The 18,668-nt window shown below is 34.5% G+C and overlaps 1 protein-coding gene and 1 pseudogene across 2 annotated transcripts in view; both read left to right on the top strand.

Moving 5' to 3' along the window:
- VPS13B (vacuolar protein sorting 13 homolog B) overlaps positions 1-18,668 on the top strand; it is an 864,307-nt gene that overhangs the window by 263,409 nt on the left and 582,230 nt on the right. The window lies entirely within an intron of this gene.
- LOC124902102 (uncharacterized) lies at positions 16,289-16,367 on the top strand (annotated as a pseudogene).

Genomic DNA, 18,668 nt, shown 5'->3' on the forward strand with positions numbered 1-18,668 from the left:
ATTGGTGGATAAATATCATGACTTTGTTAATGCCTATTTAATCATGTTCCTTAAATATATTGTTTAGTAAACTTCTTTATAGAATTACCCATATAGTAATTTTTGTTTTCAAATAATAAACTTAAGATGATACTAAAATGACCAGACCATTCAGTTACAATTTTGATACCTAAGAAGAGATTAATCTTTCTAGAATCTTGCCACTTGTTCTTGAGTTGGACAGGAACTCTTAATATTTGTTTTACCACATATACAATGAAAATAAATTAATAAGTTGAGTGTATTTAAATAATCTGTTCTTCAACAATATATTACCTTTTATAATTTAAATGCATTTCTAGGGTCACAAAATTTTATTTTTGTTTTTAACTTTTTATATAGCTCTAAAAGTAAAGTGGTATAAGAAAAATTATCTGTGACACCTATAATATTTATAAAGTTTTAATTTTTTCTTGCTGTTAAGGAAATTCACCTAATCTGCAACATTAGTGTTATGGATAGTAGTATGTTTATGGATTTGTGTGTAAAATTTTAATGTGATCATGTATTTAATGCTTTGAAAATATTCCTTTGGGTATGTTTTGAACCTAAAATGTAATATATTTTAACTTAAAACTACATTCACATAGTTTATTTATGGTATTTTTAAATTTAAATTTTTCATCCACCTTACAACTGCCACCCACATTCATGGCTTAGGTATTTATGATATGGTTTAGAGAGCTCATAAGTACTATTTTTATGCCAGTTTTAAAATAATTTGAATTAATCTTATGTTCTTGTAACAAGATTTAATTTGGGTGTATATGTATATATGTGAGTATGATTGATGTTATAGACAAGTCATAAGTAAATCTTAAATGAAAAAATCAAAATTCCTTAACAGTCCTTCAAGACTTTACAAAAATATTATACTTTCAGCAACTACTTTCCTGACCACTGTATCTAAATTTCTCTCTCTGTCTCCTACACACATATTGACACTTCTTACTTATTTTTCTACACTCCTTTAGTTTTCCTTAGTACTTATCAGAATCTACCATACTATATATGTTACTGATTTATATTGTTGATTGTTTCCCCTGCTATTAGAATTTTATGCTTCATTTGGGCAGGACGTTTTGTCTCTTTTTGGTCACTACTGTGTTCCCAGCATCTAGACCAATACCTGGCACATAAGCTAACAATAAATACTTATTGAATGAATAAGCAAGTAACTGATGATTACATTTACTTTTCTTTGCTTTTTGAAGTTGAAGTATCTAATGGAATAGAGACAGGAATCTTTCTGGAGGCTTAAGGGAAGAAAAAGATGTTAGGTGGTTAAATCTTTTAGGTGAACAGTTAAAGGGAATCATGAGTGGTCTCTGCTTGTGTTTTCAGAAACAGATAGATGTCCCGGTGAGGTTGTTAATGAACTTTTCCCATGGTCTTATAGAATTTGAATGATGATCATACTAACTGGCTTTTTTTGGGTCATGGCATGATGTGTGGAAGACAGCTGCCCTTGTGCATATACTCTCAAATTGAGGGGGATGGGTGGTTAAATGGGACCAGCAAATGTTGCAGATGTTACGTAAAAGTCAATTAGGAAGTGAGTTTTGAGAGGAGCTTATTACTTAGGCAGCCTTTTGACTGTGATTTGAGAATGTGAGGGAATGGACAGCTTTATTAATGGGGATTTGGAATTATGACAGAGAGAAATATTAATGGTATTAGTAAAACTCATTATAAAAACAGTACTTTACAATTAAAATGTCACATTTGTGTAAATTGTTTTATTTGCTTACAAATCAAAACTGTTTTAGGCAGAGAAAATATTATTTGTGTCTTGCAGAGGAGGAAATAGATGCCTAGAAGTTCAATGACTTGTCCAATTGCCTAGCAAGTCAGTCTTTGAACTAGAACTTGGAACTTCTAACTATACAACATTTTCCCACCATGTTGGGTGTTGGGCTGTTTATCATTTTCTCTTTTAACCTTAGAATCCACCTCACTAAACACTGTATCCTTCAGTCTTAAAAGTTCCTAACGTAACGGATCTCCTTTTTTACTTTATATTAAGCACTGTCAAAAGAGCCACACTGTCATGATCTTACAGCATTTCTTTGTCTTTGAAGTCTCAGCAATTCCCTTTACACTTTTCCCACTTCCTTCCTTGATTGCATTCTGCACTTGACTAACTCTGATTAACAGCAAAGGAGCTGAAGGCTCTTATTAGAATACAGTATGCCAGCACACATTCTGTATTTATGGTTATTTTTCAGGGGAACCATTTAATGACACATTTCTTAGGTTTGTGTAGATACAACAGGTCACATAGAGAAATAGATGCTTCTCTGGTTCCTTTGTAGGTAGAAGCACTTGGTGACTATAACTGACATAATTAAAACATTTAAAAATAGGTTCTGCAGGTGCAGTGGCTCATCCCTGTAATCCCAGCACTTTGGGAGGGCTGAGGTGGAAGCATCACTTGAGCCTGGGAGGCAGAGGTTGCGGTGAGCCAAGATCACGTACTGCACTGTAGCCTGGGTGACAGAACGCAACCCTGTCTCAAAAATAAATAAAAATAAAAATGAGGTTCTAAATATTTTCTTCCCTTATTTTTTATTATTATTATTTTTTAGACAGAACGTTGCCCAGGCTGGAGTGCAGTGGGCGCGATCTCAGCTCACTGCAACCTCCGCTTCCTGGGTTCAAATGATTCTCATGCCTTACAGAGGCGCACCACCACACCTGGCTAATTTTTGTATTTTTAGTAAAGATGGGGTTTCACCATGCTGGTCAGGCTGCTCTTGAACTCCTGGCCTCACGTAATCCACCCGCCTTGGCCTCCCAAAGTGCTTGAGATTACAGGCATGAGCCACTGTGCCCAGACTCCCTTGTCTTTTTAATATAGACTTTGGCTCTTCTTATGCTATATTTTGCCTATGATTCATAGCAGGTTCTGCTTGCTAAAGAGTTCTGAGTCTTTGTTAATCATGGTATTAATGTGTAAATAAATTTTGGAGTGTCTGCTATTTAGGAATATAAAATGACCATGAATTCTATCAGCTTAGAATCAAAAGAATTTAGGCCATCATTTCAATTTCTGTTTTTTCTTTTGATATGGAGTCTCGTACTGTCGCCCAGGCTGGAGTGCAGTGGCGCGATCTTGGCTCACTGCAACCTCCGCCTCCCAGGTTCATGCCATTCTCCTGCCTCAGCCTCCCAAGTAGCTGGGACTACAGGCACCTGTTACCATGCCCGGCTAATTTTTTGTATTTTTAGTAGAGACAGGGTTTCACTGTGTTAGCCAGGAAGGTCTCGATCTCCTGACCTCGTGATCCACCTGCCTCTGCCTGCCAAAGTCCTGGGATTACAGGCGTAAGCCATCGCACCAGGCCCATCATTTCAATTTCTGAGCCAGTGTTAAGAGTTCTATTTACATGTCTCCTGCTCTCTCTTTGCTCTGGCTCTGCTGGCCTTTTTTGATGTTCTCTGTGGTGGTTATGTATTTACATATACTGTTTTTTTCTGTCTAGGATTCTCACAACCATCCTTACCCTTTTTATACCTGTTTATTTCCAGCTCAGTCTCAAGATCTCAGCTCAACTACTGTTTCTCCAAGGAAGCCTTCTGTGACTCTGCCTTTTCCCTACTCCCTCCCAAGCCACTCAATTTAATTAAGTACCTCTCTTACATTCTTTCATAGCTGTTAAGACGGTATATATTTATATATGTCCTTACCACTTGACAGTAAGTTCCATGAGGGCAGAATTAATCACTGGCTGCTTACCATTTTATCTCCAGGGCCTATCATTGATGAATGCACAAAGAATGCATGAGAAATCGTTTGTTGAATGAATGAATAAATGAATGAACATTTATGACAGATGTTCAAGGGTATAAATTTGACAGATAAATAATCAGTTCTTGATACATGTTAGCCGCCTTTTCTTTTCTCTATTTCTGTTTCTTCCTCCTCTTCCTTTTCCTTCTGCATATATCTACCACTAGAGAAAATATCTACCAATATCTTTCTCTGTAAGACAGTTCTAATTACTATTAGATTATTTATTCACTGGACTATACCTCCCATTTCCTGGTCTGATTTTATTCTTATAAATGACATGAAATAATATATCAGCCTGAAATATACCTGACAACACATATTATCTTACCTTTCTTAGCTTTTTTTCACCCTTCCTTTCATTTGGTATTCATCCTCTTTAGTCTCCAGCATTTACTGCTATGGTTGATCATACCCTTTCTATTCAATCCTTAGTCTCTTTTGGCTTCTAGATGTTCAGAGACAAGTCTCTATAGCAGTGGTCCTCAACTGTTTTGGCGCCAGGGACCTGCTTCATGGAAGACAATTTTTCAATAGACTTGGGTGGTGGGGGATGGTTTCCAGATAATACTCTTCCAACTCAGATCATCAGGCATTAGATTGTCATAAGGAATGTGCAAGCTAGATCCCTCGCGTGCACATTTCACAACAGGCTTTGTGCTCCTATGAGCATCTAATGCTGCTGCTGATCTGACAGGAGGCAGAGCTCAGGCAGTAATTCTTGCTTGCCTGCCCACTCCTCACCTCCTGCTGTGTGGCCCAGTTCCTAACAGGCCACGGACTAGTACAGGTCCATGGCCCAGGGGTTGGGGACCGCTGATCGATAGGTCTTTTTTGTTTTTGCACTTCTTGCGAATGGAGGCACTGACTGCCCTTTGTTCTGGACTGTCTATTCAGAGATGTTCTTATAGTGAACAGCCTTGGAAGACAAGTATCATGTCTCATTCTGGAGCAAAGAGAAAGCATGCTTCCTGTTATAAAACATTTGGTTCCTTAACTTCGGGTTCATCTCCTGTTATGTAATTCACTGCATGTACAGGCAGCCATCTGAACAAACGTGCACATCATCACCTCTGTGAGACTTGTGGGCAAAGGGAACTGATGCAAATATGTTGATACTGGTGTTGCTCCCTGTGCGATAAGTAATAAAGTCCTTATCTGTGACTTGGGATCCTTGTCTTCTGCAGCCTTCATGAAACTGTGGTAGCGTATGATCTTAGGTCCCTGACAATTCTTGACACCAGAACAATGTCGTTTCTTGGTTTTCCTTGCTTTGTTCCCCTCCTCGAAGATGTTTCTTTCTTCTGTTCCTTAAATGTAGGTTGTTACCAAGATTATGTTATTGACCCTGTCTTTGTATCTGAATGATCTAATCAATACATCTGTTTTCAGCAACCAACCATAAGTTTATATCTTTCTGTCCATTTTTTTTTCTTTTGAGATCTGGACTGCAAATTTCAGCTGCTTCTTAAATATTTTCTTTGGATATTTTAGTGGTGCCTAACACATTCAAAACTAAACTCAGTATAATTTTTTATTCCCTATTTCATACTTCATTATTCACTCTTTCAGTTAATAATGGCACTATTTCCCTCTTAATACTGTCAATTTCAGCACTACCTTGATTCTGCCTTCTTTCTTCCCTGCACATGGTTGATGTTTTACAAAAGCCTCCACCACCCCACCAATTAAATATCCTAGGCAAAACATCATAAATTTATTTCAGTAATTTTCTATATGATTTGTCTTCAGATTGTCAAACTGACTACTTCCACTACATGTTTGAAAATATCTTCTTTAAAATGTTAACTCCAAAATTTAACACAGTCTTCCACATACCACAAAGTACAATATATATACTTCTCAGATTTGTATAGGGAACTTCTATTCAGTTGCTATTTGTCTTGAGCTTGTATGCTACTTGGAAACCGTGGATCTTTTTCACACGAACTACTCTTAAGACATTTTTACATATTTTATATGTCTACATTAGTTTATGAACCTACTTGGAAAGCTTTATACTTATTTCTATGAAATTTCACCTAATTGATTTTGGTCCACCATTAATGAAGATGATACCTTTTAAAGTATCTGCTTAGCTGTAGTCACTTGTGCAATTCAGATGCACATGCTATTTTTGCTTTTAATATAATGGAACTAAAAATAACGTTTTTTACTAAGGTAAGAAAAATAGATTTATGTGATTATGATGTTATTTTAAAATAATTTAAAATAAGTGTTCCTCTTAACGTATCTTTAAATGTAATGCCAATGTAAACCAGTCTTTATTATCTTGTATAATTTGTTTCAGAATTAAGTAGTATAAATTTTTTAACTTTACCAAATTGTGATAAATTAAAAATAATTTAAAATTTTACCCATCGCACATGGGAAACTTTTGGTCATTGTTATTGGAAAGGAAAGCCACAATTACAACTCTAATCTCTGTAAATTAACTGTTACATTGGGAGGTAGTTCTTTGTCTTGATTAAAACATACCAGCAAACAGACACACTCTTTTGGTTCACCATTTGGAGTTGGTTGGTTAGAATATATTGTTTAGGAGTTTTAAAAATGGAGACAGTATTTTATATTGTAAGTTTTAATTTGTAGGGAATGTCTTTTTTGGTTTCAAAAAATTCTGCTCCTAATGTAGAAATAAGTGAATTGCCTTGAAGTTATATGTTTAGTATTTTTGACAGAACATATGAGTAAGAATGCTTATATATTGTAGCAATTAAAGACAATTCACATTTGTGGTTTGGGCATAAATGTGTAAAAATTATACCCATCTATCTTATTACATTTCCTCTTTCCTCCCTGAGGACGTTACTATGTATTTTATCTGTAATTGTTGCCAGTTTTCTATCACGTTCCCACTGGGCTTTTGGTGCAAAAAATCTTATCCTCTTGATGACAGAGCTTGCCTGAATGATTTCATGCTCCTAGCATTTTTGTTCACGGGAATTAGGGGCAAAATGTAACTACAGCTGAACAGAGCGTCTATTTTTGTAATTTTGGAGTTTAGGCTCTGTTATTGGAACTAAATGAAGAGATGCAGGTGTTCTCCAGTCCAAGCCCTTTGGGAGTTTTGATGGTAGATGCTTGAAAAGAAAATGCATGTGTTTCCACAGTCAAACAGCAGCTGTGAGACAAGGATTTATGCTTTTCTCAGAACTTTGGGATTTCAAAATGTTACATTTAATCACAAGCCCAGAAAGGGGAGCAAATGTTAAAGATGTTACGCATAAAAGTAAGTTTACTGATTTCTTTACCATACGAACTAGTTGTGGGAACATAGGAACAAAGTACTTTTTAATCATAATGCAAACAATTTCTAAAGGATTATGATAATTGTAAGGACATTGCCTTTTGAAAATGTTACATTTGTAGTGCAGAGAATTTTTTTATCCTACTAATTTCCTAAAATATATTGATATTTTTTCCCGTTAAGAGATGCAAACACATACACACACAAGACGAAAGGTGTGGTAAACTATTTGCCATATGCATTTTAATTTTTTTCCCCAAAAAGTTTAATAAATATCTTATTGTAAAAACAATATTTTCAAGTACTAGAAATGTCAAGTTCTAGCTAGGATACTAACTAAGGGAATTTATAGATATTTAAATACAGGTGTATATTTAAATGTTTACACAAAACAAAGCATATGTATATGTTTAAAATATTTTTTCTTTTTTCAGATCATGAAATTACTTTGTGTTAGTTGATTTTCAAATTTATCTTTATTAAAGCACCACCTTGCAGTATTTCTTTGCCATTCTCCTATTTTTATTGCTCTACTTTTTTAGCATAATCATTCATTTATTCATCTAACAAGTATTTATTGCCTATTTTTTGTGCGTAGAACTATAACGATGCATCAAAGTCTCTACAGTGAATCAACTTCTAATGAGGAGTAAGCATATAAACAACTACAGCTGAATAAATGAATGATATAAAGGCTTATTTTTTGGGTTCAGCTTCATCCATTATAAATTATGTTACTTTGAGCAAGTAAACCTTTCTGAGTATTGGTTTCTTTTTTTCTTTACTTTTTTTTTTGAGATAGAATCTCACTCTGTCATCCAGGAAGGAGTGCAGTGGTGCTTGCATCCTCTACCTCCTGGGCCCAAGAGATCCTCCTCCCTCAGTCTCCTGAATAGCTATGACTACAGGCATGAGCTGCCACACCTGGCTAAATTTGTGTGTGTGTGTGTGTTTTTGTAGAGACAGAGTCCCACTATGTTGCCCAGGTTGGTCTTGAACTCCTACGTTCAAGCGATCTTTCCACCTTGGCCTCCCAAAGTGCTGGGCTTATAGGCGTGAGCCACAGCACCTGGCCTAGTGTTGGTTTGTCACCTATAAAATGGAGATACTCTTATCTGCTTACTAAGATTGTTGTGAAGATTAAATACTGTATCCTCAAGTACATTGTAAACTTTAAAACATAATGTGGATTTTAAGTATTAATTATTCTTTTCACAATAGTACCCTATATTAACCAGTGATTGAAAATGTAAGGTTTTTCTGAGTCATTTCTTTTCCTTCCTTAATCTCAACATCCCAGTTAATGGAATCCACTTTAAATTTTTTCTCAAGGTAAAAATTTGCAAACCTATGATTATGCATTTCTGAAGCTAGGAGCAAATCCTTTACCTAGTTTCGTTATTCTCCTTCCACATTGAAATGTACCCTGGACGCTATGATGTTAGGAGTCAGGAACAGTTGCAATAGCAACAGGAAATTACTTTGCTTGCTTCCTTTGAAAGGTCCCAGATTCTGGAAGGATGCCAGAGGGAGAAATCCCTTGAGCCTTAAGGGTAACCAGTTTCCCTCATTTATATAGCACAAGGTCAAATTTTTTGCATTTTATTACTGCTTGTATAGTAAAAGTAAACTGGTATTCAGAGTAAATAGTAGCTTCATTAGTAAGTAGTAAATTAGTATACAAAAAGTATTCGGGTTGTATACTGGGCTGCAGGTGAACTTCACTAGAAAATACGGACTATCTCATAATTTGTTTAAAGTATGTTTTATATGGATCAAAAAGGTACCAGTATTACTTTATTTTCTACTTAGAAAATAATATACATTTTCTATGTGAGTTTTTATTTTTGCAACTCATAGCTTTTGTGTTTAAGACCCAATGACATTAGCCTTGTGATCCTGTGCAGATTTTGAAGTTGGCTGTATAGTAGCTTTCATATAGGCCAAAAGAGGAGTTGCTTTATAAAACACTTACGGGTGAAATTCACATCAATCTTTGCTACCTGCCCCTTCTCCTAGTTGTTCTATACCCTCTAGAAAAAACCTCATTCTACTGACAGCCTTTGCATTCCTTTTATTCAGTTCAGTATACATGGGAGTCATTCTTATACCATTGCATTGTTTTGTAAATAAGTGAGACTCAGTTGTCTGTTAATGTGTGAGAGTTTAAGTGTTTTACTGAGGATATTTCTGTTTTATTTTCACCTCCCTCTGACTTTTGCCCTTCCTCCTCCCCATCCCTTTCCTCTCCCCTCCCTTCCCAATTAATTACTCCCTTCTAAGCACAACCATAGCACTTTTGCTGTATCATGCTGCAAATAGTCTTAACTATTTATAGGATTCCTTCCCCATGAAGTTGGGAGTTCTTAACAGCAGGGAACCATAACTAGTGTATGATAGGTATTCAGTAAATGTAGGCTGGTCCAAAGGAAATTATTTTTGCCATTTGGGCATAGCCCTATTGTTCGCAGGTACATATTTCATTTCTGAATTGCTCTATGGGGAAAAATGTAGTCTGGCTTCGGTCTGTTAAAGAATAATTTTTAAATGTAAAATCATAACTCTCATATAGAAATAAGACAAGTGCTAAAGATTTTATTTAACTCATCATTAATGAGAGAACCAGGCATATGTTACAACTAGATCAAAGGAGAATTTAAAAAACAGAGGCATTTGTTGATCAGTAATATCAAAATAGATTTGGAAATGAACAAACTGGCTTTTCCCTTAATGGGGAAATGAGATCAATTGAACTTCTACCTGACAGAATTTGCGTACCTTCAGTCAATAATTATTTTGCATTGCTATCAGTTATCTATAATTTACTGATTTGTAAAATAGTGTAAAGGCAATGAAAGGTGCAGAGTAACATAGAGTCAGAATCAGATAACCTGCAAGGGTGTGCTTTTAAAAACACAGAGCTCTACATTGAAGCACAAGTTATTTCCTAAGAGGCTTGCTAAATTCCAGATGGCTAGGATATTTCTAGCTATGGGTGGTTTAAATATAGAGGCAGATCAGAAATAATTTTGTGAAGGTTTAGTGCATGGTGGGAAAATTAAAGAGAAATGATACCACCGGCAGAGGGCAGTAATGAAATAACAGTTTTTTGAAGACAAAGGAAATATTGATTGTTGATAATTCTGGGATAATTCTGTTGACCTTAACTTGAGTTTTACTTTTCAAATATTGCCGTACTAGGTTCCTTTCAGCCAGCTGCTTTGCCAATACCTGGAACGTGCCAGAATAAGGCTCATTTTGGTTTTGTTTTAGGCTTTGTTAATGAAGTAAATAAATAAAATATTCTAACCTGGTTTTAGTTAAGTAAATAATGTGTTCTAACTTCTAAGTACTTTTTCTGTATGGCAGATATTTGAGTATCTGTTGTAGATTAGGTGTTGCTTTAGGTATTAAGGAGATATATGTGTGTGTGTATCTATCTGTCTGTCTATCTATCTATCTATCTATCTATCTATCTATCTATCTATCTATCTATCTATCTCTCCCTCCGTACTGTATAGATAGATAGATACATCTCCTTATCTATGATGAGTTATGATATGATCTATGATAGATGGATATATGTAGCTATCTACACACATGAGAGTTTCCAAGCCTCACCAAAGTAACATTCTGTTGATTATGATATTTTAATTTTAGTAGTTAATTTATTCTATTTTTTATGAGAATAAAACACTTAATATAGTATTATTTAAACTATCAGAAGTCTTTCTTTGAATGTAATAATGACATCATCTAATTTCCACTAAAAGATAAAAATCTAAAATATTGTGAAAATATCTATCTGGAAATATATGATAGCCAAAGTTATATAAAACTTAGTTATAGATAAATAATAAAAATGCAAATACACCATAGGAAAATGGCCAAAGGGGACAAAAGTAAGAAGCACAAATGATCAAAACACATAAAAAATTCAAATTAACAAGTAGTCAAAGAAATCGACATTAAAACACTAAGGAACATTTTTTTACCTGTGAAATTGATAAATGTTTACTAAATGATAAAACAAAGCTGAGGAATTTATAATGAGATGAGTATGTCCATAAAAGTCTGGCAGGTGTATGAATTAGTACAGAGCCTCTAAAAATCAATTTAGCGAAGTTTATGAAGAATTTAAGAGTGGTTATCTTTTATAATCCCACTTCTAAAACTATATCCCAAGTGAGTAATCCAAGATGCGTTTGAAAGACTTATATTTGAAGTATAAGGGTATTTATGTCAGCTTATTTATGATAATCACAAATTATCTTTGTTGTCTAATAGTAGGCAAATTACCTAATAAATCAGTATATTCCTAGAAGGATATTGATGTCAAAGGAAAATGTTCATATTAAAAGCTTGTGTGAAAAAATAAAAGTATAAACCTACATATAAGATTCCAGTTTTGTAAAATTTCTTCAGTATATACATATGAATATATGCATGCATGTATATTTATGTATTCATAAAAATTACTTTTAATAGTGATTACCAGTGCTTAATGGGATTATGGGTCAACTCCCAGTCATACTTTTACTCTTCTATGTTTTTTGATATTTTCTGCAAACATAATAGATATTAAAAAATATTTCTTCTCCAGAATTACTTATTTTCAACCAATTATTTAGAGAGAATTATGGTTATTTGGCTCACACATAGCATTCTTGCACACTTAATTCTTATATAACCTTTAATAATGAAATACAATTTCATTTTTAAAGAATATATATACCCTGAAAGTCACAGAGTCTATAGCTCAATTTTTGAAGATGCTTTGAGGGGCAAGTGGGAGGGGTCTCAATATGTATGTGAATAAAATACCAAATTTTAAGATATCATAATTTACATTTCTCTTTGAATAGTTTTAGTCTAGTGACTAAAATATTTAAAATAACTTTATTTTTCTGATAATTGTTTTCTAATTATAAATAAAATGTGTCTTCTTTTTGATGTATAGTTGGAATTTTATCATTAGTCAACTATCAGGTATAGTACAAATCAAAAGAACCTTCAATGACTTATGATCCAGCATCCAGATATTCACTTGAAAAATAGCTCTTTGACTATTTGCATGTATTTTGACATAGGAACAAAGATATTGATTGTCATAGTTAAACTCCAAGTTCAGCTGGGTGTGGTAGTTCATGCCTATAATCTCAGCACTTTGGGAGGCTGAGGTGGAAGGATCACTTGAGTCCAGGAGTTTGAGACCAGCCTGGACAACATAGTGAGACCCCTGCCTCTATGAATGAATGAATGAATGAATGAATGAATGAAAGAAGGAAGGAAGGAAGGAAAGAAAGAAAGAAAAAGAAAGAAAGAAAGGGAAATCAGGGTCAACTCATGAAATCTTTTTTTGTTAAACCTTCGATAAAGTTGAAATTTTCCAAATTCTTAATGGAAACTAATGGAAGTTAATACTCTAGATAATGATCTTACAGGAAGAGTTAAGAACAATAGTAAATTTGAATAATATCTAAAATCATCTAACTTCAGGTAAAATAGGTTTAGTTAGGAGAATGCTATATATACTTCTGTAGAGACACTATCAAAGTATTTTTCAGTGTATCTATAATAGGACATTAGAGTTTGATGATATTGCCGTTCTTTTTTGTTTTTACCCTCACTTCCAGTCAGTTCCTGTCTTCTTGATTTGGGCTTTATTTAGAATTATTAGCTATGGTTAGTGTTACTTTGGGCTCAAGTTGAGAACTAGAAAGAACATTTCCTTGAGATAGCTGGATGAGTTGACAGAGATACAGGAAATGTCAAGAATCTAAAGACGATTCATTTCTATGTGGGCATGAGAATTTCTGAAATAATGAGCTGTAGTTGACGAAAAGCAAGCAGAGCTTAGTGAATAATCTTTTCAGGAAGAAAGAAGGTGACCAGGCCAAAATGTATCACCTCTGCAGGGTGATAAATAGCCACTGAATGGAGAGGAAAGAGTGAAGGAGGAACAGGCAATATTAAAGTAAGTTGCTGGTAAGTTTTTAAAAAATCAGTTTGATATTGTTGAATCATTAATCATCAGTTATCCTAAAAACAAGATTTATTATAATGACTTATCCTGTGTAGAAAAATACATCTATTTTGAGTGGGAGACTTTCAAGATCATTTCTAGTCCAGAAGAAAAGAAAAGGCAAACATTTTATTTGGGCAAGTGTCATTAGAGTTAAGCATCTAGTGAGTGGAGGAGGTAAGACTGACTCTTGTTGTCTGGAGTTCTTTTTATTATGTATATTACTTTAAATGGCCATTTTCAGGTGACCATGTAGTTACCTGTATTCATTCAACACATATTTTCTTGGTGCTGGAACCTTATGATATAAAGATGAACGAGACCCTTTTATCTCTTATTAATGAGCTTATATGTAGTTCATTGATGGAGACGTACAGGTAAGTAGACATTTAAAATGTAGTTTATTGTGGCACTATTCACAATAGCAAAGACTTGGAACCAACCCAAATGTCCATCAATGATAGACTGGATTAAGAAAATGTGGCACATATACACCATGGAATACTATGCAGCCATAGAAAATGATGAATTCATGTCCTTTGTGGGGACATGGATGAAGCTGGAAACCATCATTCTCAGCAAACTAACGCAAGAACAAAAAACCAAACACTGCATGTTCTCACTCATAGGTGGGAATTGAACGATGAGAACACTTGGACACAGGAAGGGGAACATCACACACTGGGGCCTGTCATGGGGTGCGGGGAGAGGGAAGGGATAGCATTAGGAGATATACCTAATGTAAATGACGAGTTAATGGGTGCAGCACACCAACATGGCACATGTATACATATGTAACAAACCTGCACGTTGTACACATGTACCCTAGAACTTAAAGTATAATAATAAAAAAAAAAAAGAAAAAAAAGGTAGTTCAAGGAATGCCACAAAACAAGGTATTATGAATTCACATTGAAAGAAATCCTTAACCCAGTCTTTCTGACTTGGAAAAGGATTCCTGGAATAAGTCATGTCTAAGATGAGTCCTTAATTAAGGGTTGGAGAAGAAACAATTGGTCAAGTTTGGCTAAACTGTAAATAATTTCTGTGGATTTGAAGATTTGAATGGGATGGGATCAATGGTAATAGTTTGTGCCTGATAAGATAAGAAAGCTCCCTCAGATTAAAACGGGCCTTGAAAGTCATTTTAAAGGGTTTGGACTGAGTGCCAAAGGAAATAGTTAAAAGGCTTTTTTTATATTTATGCTTTAGAAACTAGCATAGGCAGTAGTGTGGATGAGGATAAATGACAGGAGGCCATGAGAAAAGTTAGGAATATGTTGCAGTGAAAAAATGCTAATGTCAATGGAGAGAATTACACAGATTTGTGGAATATTAATGGGTTGGAATTACAGGAGGTGATTAATTGAATATGTTGGCCAAAAGAAAGAGCACAGTAGGCAAGCACCCAGGATGTGGATTTGAAGAGCTGGGTGGACAATAAAATGCCTTTTACTGAAATGAGGAACAAAGAAACAAGAACCAAGTTTTCTTTAGGGTAATAGAAGCAATAGATGTAATAATACTAATAGTTCTTTCTACGTGCCAGGAATTATTCTAAGCATTTTACAGAGAACATAGGCAGTTTGAATAAAGAACTCATATTCTTCACCATTACGTGAAACAGCACAGGCTATGGAGATTTCAGACTCTAGATAATTTATGATTCAATTCATTGAATTCTATTTACTTTAATTTATTGGCTGCTAGCTGCATTCTAGAGGCTGGTATAGAAAGTTACTCAGTACAGGGCCCTGGTCAAGTAGTCTATATACACATACAACTAATTCTAATTTGACTTTCACAAATGATATAATTGATTGGGAGAGAAGTTCTGCTATCCAAAAATAGAGGAAAAAGAGATTAATTTGAATTGAAGAAGGGAGGACTGAATGATATTAGAAAGATCTCTCAAGGAAGGATTGATATTTAAGCCTTGAGTGATAAAGGATTGCACATGAGTGGAAAATTCTTATTTTAGCATTGCAAATATTTTCAATTAGCTTACATTGTTTTCTTTTAAATGGTAATTATTATTGGATGAAGACAATATTCCCATAAAAGTAAAAAATATATAATTGTTGTTAAAAAGTGTTTAGTACATATTTGTGGTAAGGTAATTTTTCCTCTACAGTATTTCAGAATATTCAGATAAGTATAATTAGGAATCATATTTAAAAATTTTAAAAGATTGTAGAATATAAGATTGGATTGTTATTGCTGCTTTGTTTTCTAAGACAAATTTTTAAAATTTGGATGTTGGGATTATTAGATTTAATCTAATTTATGTGGGTAAGCTTGGAGTTAATTATTAAGTAGAACTTGATTTTTAGCCTTAGAATAACAAATGCAGAAGTGAAGAAAACTTTTAATTGGATTTGTTGTTAACAAAGCATGGCATAAGTATGCCTCAGCCAGCCTGTGAAAGGGATGACTTAACACAACTGTTGATGCATTTAGAGTGAAACATCTTTATCAAGTTAATATAAGAAGCAGTCATGCCCTACTTGAATTACTCATTTATAATAGCTGAACAGCAGCCTGCATGTGGACTTTGAAATCCTGGGAAAATAAGATGCCTGCATACATCCAAATGTTGAAAGCTTTTACCCTTCAGCAGCTGGAAAATGTTGAGCTCTTTTGTCATCTACTAGGTTTTTGGCCCTCAGGGAGATGTGATCAATTTAATTACTGACCAGCTTTATCTATTACTTTTAATGATTATAGTCGCTGAAGTAAGCCTCTGCAGTTTGTAGCTGAAAAGATCATGTTTAGATATTATGTTATTTAAAATCTATAAAAGTTAAACACATGGACCTAGATGTTTCTACTTTGCTCAGGTTTATCCCATATATTGGGATCACTAAAAATAGCAAATAATTTAGATATCATAAAAAATAATTTATCCACCTTAAATGGAATCTAAAAGGGGCACACAATATACCCCATATATTGCAGTTCTTGGGTAAATTTTATATGTTATATCTATTTTTGTGCAACTGTTTGTAACTTTCCTAAGATACAGACAGTGGTTTATTTTGAATCAGAACTACTTATAAACACACAATGCAACTAATTATTTGTGCTTCTTATTTAGCTTCTTTTCACTATCTTTTTGATGACTGGTCCAAAGGGGATTTTTAGAAAATAGCATGGAGTGAAGACTATACTTTCAGGGATCATTTCTATAGTTTGTTACTAGAGAAGTTTCTCTGAACGTGTAAAGCACCATTTAAAGTTCATATGGAGCCAAAAAAGAGCCCGCATCGCCAAGTCAATCCTAAGCCAAAAGAACAAAGCTGGAGGCATCACACTACCTGACTTCAAACTATACTACAAGGCTACAGTAACCAAAACAGCATGGTACTGGTACCAAAACAGAGATATAGATCAATGGAACAGAACAGAGCCCTCAGAAATAATGCCGCATACCTACAACTATCTGATCTTTGACAAACCTGAGAAAAACAAGCAATGGGGAAAGGATTCCCTATTTAATAAATGGTGCTGGGAAAACTGGCTAGCCATATGTAGGAAGCTGAAACTGGATCCCTTCCTTACACCTTATACAAAAATCAATTCAAGATGGATTAAAGATTTAAACGTTAGACCTAAAACCATAAAAACCCTAGAAGAAAACCTAGGCATTACCATTCAGGACATAGGCGTGGGCAAGGACTTCATGTCCAAAACACCAAAAGCAATGGCAACAAAAGCCAAAATTGACAAATGGGATCTAATTAAACTAAAGAGCTTCTGCACAGCAAAAGAAACTACCATCAGAGTGAACAGGCAACCTACAACATGGGAGAAAATTTTCGCAACCTACTCATCTGACGAAGGGCTAATATCCAGAATCTACAATGAACTCAAACAAATTTACAAGAAAAAAACAAACAACCCCATCAAAAAGCGGGTGGACATGAACAGACACTTCTCAAAAGAAGACATTTATGCAGCCAAAAAATACATGAAAAAATGCTCACCATCACTGGCCATCAGAGAAATGCAAATCAAAACCACAATGAGATACCATCTCACACCAGTTAGAATGGCAATCATTAAAAAGTCAGGAAACAACAGGTGCTGGAGAGGATGTGGAGAAATAGGAACACTTTTACACTGTTGGTGGGACTGTAAACTAGTTCAACCATTGTGGAAGTCAGTGTGGCGATTCCTCAGGGATCTAGAACTAGAAATACCATTTGACCCAGCCATCCCATTACTGGGTATATACCCAAATGACTATAAATCATGCTGCTATAAAAACACATGCACACATATGTTTATTGCGGCATTATTCACAATAGCAAAGACTTGGAACCAACCCAAATGTCCAACAATGATAGACTGGATTAAGAAAATATGGCACATATACATCATGGAATACTATGCAGCCATAAAAAATGATGATTTCATGTCCTTTGTAGGGACATGGATGAAATTGGAAACCATCATTCTCAGTAAACTATCACAAGAACAAAAAACCAAACACCGCATATTCTCACTCATAGGTGGGAATTGAACAATGAGATCACATGGACACAGGAAGGGGAATATCACACTCTGGGGACTGTGGTGGGGTGGGGGGAGGGGGGAGAGATAGCATTGGGAGATATACCTAATGCTAGATGACGAGTTAGTGGGTGCAGCGCACCAGCATGGCACATGTATACATATGTAACTAACCTGCACAATGTGCACATGTACCCTAAAACTTAAAGTATAATAAAAATAAAATAAAATAAAATAAAAATAAAAAAAGAAAATAGCATGGAGTGATATGGCATAGCTAAGACAAGATCCCTGTTATATGAAGGAAGAAATGTGTCTGTAACATTAAAGCTGTTACTCTGGAATTCTAATTCTGGATCTTAATCTTGGTGTAAATCACTTGAGCTCAATTTGATTGTTTCTTAATCTGTTAAATGGTTGCAATGCCAGATACTGAATACTGTTGTGTTGTCCATTGCATAAAGACACCCTTTTAAAGAGGTCACCATTCATGTTGCAAACTAAGTTAATTTGTTTATTATTATTGCTGTTCTCACAAATTGGTGTATTATGACAGTATTCTACAGATCGAAGTAAAAATAAGGATGGCATCATGTGGCTGGTGGTGGCTGTGGATGACATTGATGATCCTATGTTTGACTAGTTTCTCCTTTTTAGTTGATGTGTTAAAAATATTTGTTGGTATTAGAAAATGTAAGAGCTTATCTTCATTGACAAACATTTGATCATATATGTAGATGCATTATGCTAGTGACATACTGAGATTTTACAGATAAAATAAGCAGTAGAAAACAGTTAGGGAGATATATTGGAAATTAATTTAAAAATTGTCTCTTGGTACTAGGTGATAAAATGTCCTAAAATTTCAAAATAAAAAAGAAGTTTTACATCATTAATATGTATGATATTTTACTTATATAATAACTTTATATACAGGTTAATGATACATCTATAAACAGCCTAAAGGAAAAAAGATTAATGAAATAAGTATCTTTTGAAAGAGGTTAAGTAATGGATTTTATGAT

This window comes from Homo sapiens, chromosome 8, assembly GCF_000001405.40.
Source record: "Homo sapiens chromosome 8, GRCh38.p14 Primary Assembly".
Classification (NCBI taxonomy): Eukaryota; Metazoa; Chordata; class Mammalia; order Primates; family Hominidae; genus Homo; species Homo sapiens.